The following is a 6,825-nucleotide window of genomic DNA, read 5'->3' as shown; positions in this document are numbered from 1 at the left end:
TTAAAAGTGAAAGTAAAAAGCCACTGCATTAGATTGTGAGACTCATAAACACACTAATGAGTGAAATGTAATTTATCTCCAGAGATGAGTAATTTCTAAAGTGATGATCAACAAGTGAACTCATATACACCATCCAAAAGCTTCATGTGGCCACTGAAATCAATTTAGATTTTTTTAATGTAGTATTTAGAATTTCAGTGTTTACAAACACCATTTTGCATTTATTATACACTTTTAAATGTTGCACATGAGTTGATCACCTTGCTGGTAAACATTTATTAAGCATTTACTATATATCAGCATAAGGCCAAATGTTTGGGATACAAAGGTGTCCATCACTGAGGACTTAACAATCTAACAGATGTGTAATACAAATAAGAAAATAATTGCAAGAAATGAATATAATATTCAAAGTATTACAGATGAGCAGCCTAATGGGAAGAGAAAAAAATTTGCTGAATGTATATTCCAGTTGAAGAGGACAATGCTAGATGCAGTTACAATGTGTCAGTACTTCCCTGATTTTAATCAATATGCATACAATAACCTGAAGATTATGTTAAAATGCACATTCTGATTAAAATGTTTTGGGTAAGGCCTGAGATTTCTCATTTCTTACACGTTTCCAGGTAATGCCAATTCTGATTCTATTTGGTAACACCTTGAGCAAGAAGATTCTAAAACTCACAACCATATTCAATTTTTTACAGTAAGGGAGAGGGAGTTTCAGAGAGACAAATGTTTTGCTCAAAATTATATAACTAAACTTGGACTGATTTGAATTTTTTAGATTCCAAAACATGTTATTCAAGTAACCAGTCTTGAGTAGTTACTTGGAAGGGTGAGTTAAGTAATATGAGCTTCACAAGTGAAATAACATTTGAATTAGTGAATGGTGAAGGAAAATATAGATGTTTCCAGGCAGCATATAAAAGGTAAGTATGTGATTTAGAGTTGATGTGATTGTAGTGGTGTCCAAAAAGCGAATTGGTTACCAGCTGAAATTAAGCTAGAAAGTATGATCATAAAATTTAGAGGGATACTTAAGAAAACCAAGAAATGTTTTTATTTTTATTAAAACAGGTAATTGAAAATAATCAAATAACTGCTTAAAACAACCTGATGTATTTGTTTTTTTTAGGAAGCTCAATCTGGATGATTGGGATGGGATGGGTATTAATCCTAGAGATATTAGAAAATAATTAAATTATAAGGTGGTCATAGAAGATACCCTGAAAATAGATTAAAAAATAGTTCAGAGTCCATAACAAATGTCTGGGCCTGCTGCAGCAGAGTGGAGGTCTGGTTGGTGAGGCCTCCTCCCCGGCTGACCAACGTGCCTCCATGCACGTTAGGCCACTAGTCTGCTTGCATGGGTGTAGGGGCGATGGTCACAATTAATGCCTTAGAAGAAGAGAGCTTCATACATTCCTTCTCCTCTGACTCTGATGCAGAACTTGGTGCTGTGTGGTTGGGTATTCAGAGGACATTATCGTGGATGATGAGTTCCAGTTATTATAGAGAAATTTCATGGACAAGTACTACCAGGAGTTTTAAGACCGGGAAGAGAATAAACTCAACTGTGTGCCTGATTTAGTGAATATATTTATTTGGTGGAAAAGTATATTGAAAGACAGCTTCTGGAGCAGATTCCTGGATTCAACATGGCAGCTTTTACAACAACGTTACAGCAAGGTAAAGATGAAGTGGCTGGTGACATATTCAACATGCTACTCCCATTTACAGATTTTTCTAGCTTTTGAAAAAATGTTTTTAGAATACAGGACAGCAAAAGAAGGCTGGAGACAAGACTTACATGACGGTTTAGTGGTGACTTGTGCAAATTATCCTCAAGGCCAGCTTTCTAGAACAATCTACAGCATTAGGTCCTACCTCCAACCAATGAATAGGATCATTCTGGATGTCACTGACCCGTAGGACAATAGTCTCAGCTAGTGATGACAGAATACATCTTGAAAAGACTGACTCTGCTCTGCAGTAGTTTGTTCATGTTAAGTATTGATGGGTCAAAACCAGTATGACTTAATCCTCCCGGACCCATTTCTCTTGAAACACCTTCAAGTATTCATTAACCTTGGTGCTTAGTAACCCTAGTATACATCCCCTCCCCAAGTAAATACTTCTCTCATGTGCTTCTGAGTCAGACTTTTCTGGAGCAAGCCCACATCAAAGATTCCACCTAAAGGATCTCTTCCCCCAGCATACATGTTGGTATGTCAACAGTGTGGAATAACCCACCATCACAAATCCTCTTTATTTCAGCAAGCTTTGCATAAATATTTTTGTATACCCACAACTCTTTTTAATACGAATCAGAGTTCCTGTCCTTAAGCCTCAATAGGGTTTTTGATATTTATTTAGGGTGTTACTCAAGCCGGCTGTCTGTCTTGAGATTTCTAATCTCCTATGATCACAGCTTATCTTGGCTGTAAAAATCAATGTAAACAGATATACTTTACCTTAAAGCCACATGTGAAAATCAACTCCATTTGCAGTCCTTGTGTCACTGTCTTCTGCTAGTCCTGATGAGCCCCACTGTACCTAGAAGTCTCTTTCAAACATTCTTTTTGAAAAAAATATTCTTATAAATGAATACTCAGGCTAACCTAGAGGATATGATGTTGGAACTTCCATGATTACCCACATGGAGATGAAAGTATTATATGCTGTGTGATTTTTTAGTTCTTAGTGCTATGAAGTCAAAAATATTTCTTATGTTGGCATTCATTTCTATTTTACTGGATACCAGTGAATGTATGTTTTGTGCTAGAAATATACTAAAAGGTATGCTGTTCTTACAGCATGTTAAATGTGTTTGTGCATACTTGCTGAAAATTCTTTCTGTATAAACCAGTTAGGTTCTATGTCGTAGACAGTGACTCTGCAATTTCTTCTTCCTGTCAAAATCTCTTTTACTGAGATGATATTCTGCTGATTTAGCTCAGCCTGGGTAAGATGTAGTAAACAGCTTTACTAGTTCTCTGTCTGCTTTGGTTTAGCGCAATGTCTGGTAGAGTATTACTTACCAGGAAACGTGTATGTCACATCTCGAGAAAGAAGAAAAAAAAACATAGTAGTTCAATTCCCAATGTGTACCTTTGAATTTTTTAAGTAAAAATGAGAATCTGTACTGACTTTCACTTGGCCATTCTGATTTTAAAGGATGAGCTACAAGCTATATGTTTTTCTGTCCTGATATGTCACTTATTAACTAGTTTTACACCATCCATAAAATTTGAGGTGTTTTACAAGAAATATAAAATAAAATAATAGTTCAAAAATACTTCTAATGATTTGAGACCAATTAATATGGAAGCAAAGGTAAGAAAGAGTCAAGAATCTTGGATAAATTTTAGCTCTGGTTGTTAAGTGAATTATGACTTCATGTCCAAGAGCGAGGAACCAGGAGAAAGAGCAGAGTTGGACAGACAGAATAATGGAAAACTTGCAGTCCAAGAGACCTTTGCAGTAGCTTCTGCAGAAAAAGCATATAATTTAAATAGTGGTTAGAATTTGCTATGCAAATATTCATAATCAACTTGGCATCACCCTAACAGCAGAACATTATATTGGTTGATTATTAGAACACACACATATCTTATTTGCTGAGCAGCAGCTGCAGGATCTTAAATTAAACCATAGTTAAAAAACACAACCACTTCCTCCAAGACCTTATAATTTCATTTAAACATAAAACTCATTCCATCATCCAGCTACTCAAATGACAAAAAACAAACTGCAAAGAATTTATAGAGAGGAGAGAAAAAAGAGTTCAGCTTCTAGATGTAGTTGATAGAAATTGCTAGACGGCTGCAGTTTTAGTCTATTTCTAAAATTGTAAGAACAACAATAACACTATGAAAATGAGAGATAAGCATAGAGAATAATCTAGCTGTGTCAAGGCTAAGTGAGTCATCCCCACCCTCTTGATAATATTTGCCCTAAGGATGTATTTCTTCTTCTTCTATTATAATTCTATAAATAATTCTTTTGGAAACAGAATGAAAAAGCAAGCACAGCAACAACCTACTTATTCCAAAATTGGGATCAGATATATTTTCTCATTTGAAATGTAAATGAGAACTAGGATAAAAGTAAGGAAATAACAAAGCGGTGAAGCTGGTTAAAAAAAAAAAAAAACCAAGTACTAAAATTTATATATCTTTCTCAATGGAGCAATACTCAAGCCCTCACTCAGCACTTATTTGATGGCATCATTTCACATCATTCTAATAAGTATGGTGAGCTAGTTTTCCTAACAAACCTTGGAGGCAATGAGGCATAGTGGAAAGAGCAAAGTCTTCAGATTCATGTATTAGTTTGTGAATGTCTCGAGAAAGGAAATCTAGTATATGCCATATATCTTGCACTGTATATTCTCAACATTGTTAATATACGCTGAATAATATCTGTATGACATGCAACAAGGAACTCTGCATTTGCCATGTCACCCCCATGAGCCTTTCTCAGTTGCAAAATGATGAAAACACAATCCAACAGAGGTACACAACATGTACAACATGCAACATGGAACATTGCATTTGTCATGTCATCCCTGTGAGCCTTTCTCACTAAATGAGATTTAAAATCATCCAGCACAATGCTTAGCACATGGTACATGTCTTGTAGCTGCTAGTTCTTAACTCATAGTACATTAGCAGTAGAAAATTGGGAGGCTAGGGAAAAAGGGCCGCTGGCATTGAGAACATGAAGAGTAGTGGCTGCTGAGAAACAAGTAGTGAGAAATACAGAAGAAAAGATTACTAAAATTTAAGTACAGGAGTCCACACAATTTTAGAAAAACCTATAGCCAACATCATACTAAACCTAAAAGATTGATTTTTTTTCCTCTCAGTTCAGGGAAAATATATGAAGGTCCACCCTGAAAACTGATTTTCTATGTTTCATAGCAGCTTCTAGCCATTACAGAAAGACAAGGAAATGAAACTAAAAGCAGCCATATTGGAAAGGAAGAATACTGGCTTAAAAGGCAGATGACATAATCATCTTCATGGAGCTCTGATGGAATCATCAGCAAAGCTGTTGAGTTTAGCAAGGTTGCAAGATACAAAATCAATATACTAAAATCAATTACATCTCTATATACTCGGAACAAACGGTCATACATTGAAATTAATCAAGAGTAAATACTCTAAATAGTGTAAAAATATGAAATACTTGGGGTTAAATATGACAAATATGTAAAACTACTGTACATTAAAAACTATGAAACATTGCTGAGAAAAATTAAAAGATACCCAAAAAATAGATAATTTTTTTCATGGCTCAGAAGACTCAATATTGTTAAGATGTCAAGTCTCTAAAAATTGCATTTATAAAGTTAGTACAATTCCAATCAAAATTCAGCCAGTTATTTTGGGGAAACTCAAAAGCTGATTCTAAAATTCACATGGAAATGCAAAGAAATAGAACAATGAAAAAAACACAGAAATGGTAGAAATAAAGAAGCATGACACTGGCTGATTCTAGATCTTACTATAAATCAACAGCAATCAAAATAATGTAGTAGTATTATCAAGATAAAAAATGGGTCAAACTGAATAAAGTCCAGAAATATACTTACACATACACAGCTTTTATTTAACACAGACACAAGGGCAACTGAGTGGAGAAGTACAGATTTTTCTTTCAATAAATTATGCTGAAACAATTCAATATTCATATCTAAAATTAAATAAACAAAAAGAACTTCAAACTACACCTTACATCAAATATAAAAATTAACTCAAAATGGATTATGAACTTAAATATAAAATGTATAAAACCTCTAGAAGAAAATAAATGAGTTAATCTGTGTCTTGGTTAAAGCAAAGATTTTCTTAGATATGACAAGAAATATTCAGTTCATTAAAAGAAAAGAAATAATAAGTTGGAGTTCATCAAAATGGAAACTTCTGTTTGAAAGACAGAGTTAAAGGAATAAAAAGACAAACCATAGACTGGAAAAATATATTTGGAAATCATGTACTTGATAAGGTACTTGTATATACAACATATAAAGGACTCTCAAAACTCAAATAATAGAAAACGAATCATACAGTTAAAAAAAATGGCAATATATTTAGGCAGACACTTCACCAAAGGAAATACAAAGACAGCAAGCAAATAAGCATATTTGAAGATGCTAAAATTAAAATGATTGGCCATGGCGAAAATGTTTTTGAGGGTGTGGAGAAACTCACACTGGCATATGCTTCTAGTTGGAATAAAAAATGGTACAATTGTTTTTGAAAGACTGTCGGGGAGTTTCCTAAGAAGTTAAACATAGATCTACCTTATTCTCCCACCACTCCACTTCTAAGTATTTTCCCAAGAGAAATAAAAGTGTACGTTCATTAAAGCACACAAATATACAAAGCAGCTCTATTTGTAATAGTCCCAAACTGTAAACAATTTTAGTTTTTGTCAAAATGTAAGTAAATGTAACAATGGTGATCTACCCATTCAATGGAATACAACTCATCAGTAAATATTAAAAATGAACTGTTAATATAGGCCAGTATGATGAATTTCAGAACAGTTAAACTGAGTGAAAGAAGCCAGACAAAAAGAAGCCAGACCTCCCGCCAAAAAAAATTATACAATATGTTTCCTTTCATTTAAAATTCTAGGAAATTAAAAAGAACTTATAGCAATAGAAAGTAACATCAGTGGTTTCCTGTGGGTGGGTTTAAATGGCAGGATGCAGCAGAAGTGAAGATTATAAGGGGGTAAAGGGAAACTTTTGGTACGATGATATGTACATTTTCCTGATAGTTATGATACTTTTCTAGTAGTATTAAT

At 34.1% G+C, this 6,825-nt stretch overlaps 1 pseudogene, besides 1 other annotated feature; it reads left to right on the top strand.

Moving 5' to 3' along the window:
- On the top strand, positions 1,312 to 3,275 carry ARL2BPP7 (ARF like GTPase 2 binding protein pseudogene 7; annotated as a pseudogene).
- Positions 2,784 to 2,984: a silencer, noted in NCBI's record as "peak7309 fragment used in MPRA reporter construct". NCBI's record gives its function as "represses an SCP1 promoter by STARR-seq MPRAs in K562 erythroleukemia cells {active_cell/tissue: K562}" and the evidence as "EXISTENCE:reporter gene assay evidence [ECO:0000049][PMID:32103011]".

Source organism: Homo sapiens, chromosome 9, assembly GCF_000001405.40.
Source record: "Homo sapiens chromosome 9, GRCh38.p14 Primary Assembly".
Classification (NCBI taxonomy): domain Eukaryota; kingdom Metazoa; phylum Chordata; class Mammalia; order Primates; family Hominidae; genus Homo; species Homo sapiens.
Note: the sequence above shows the minus strand (reverse complement) of the source record. Positions and strands in the feature narration are given on the sequence as shown.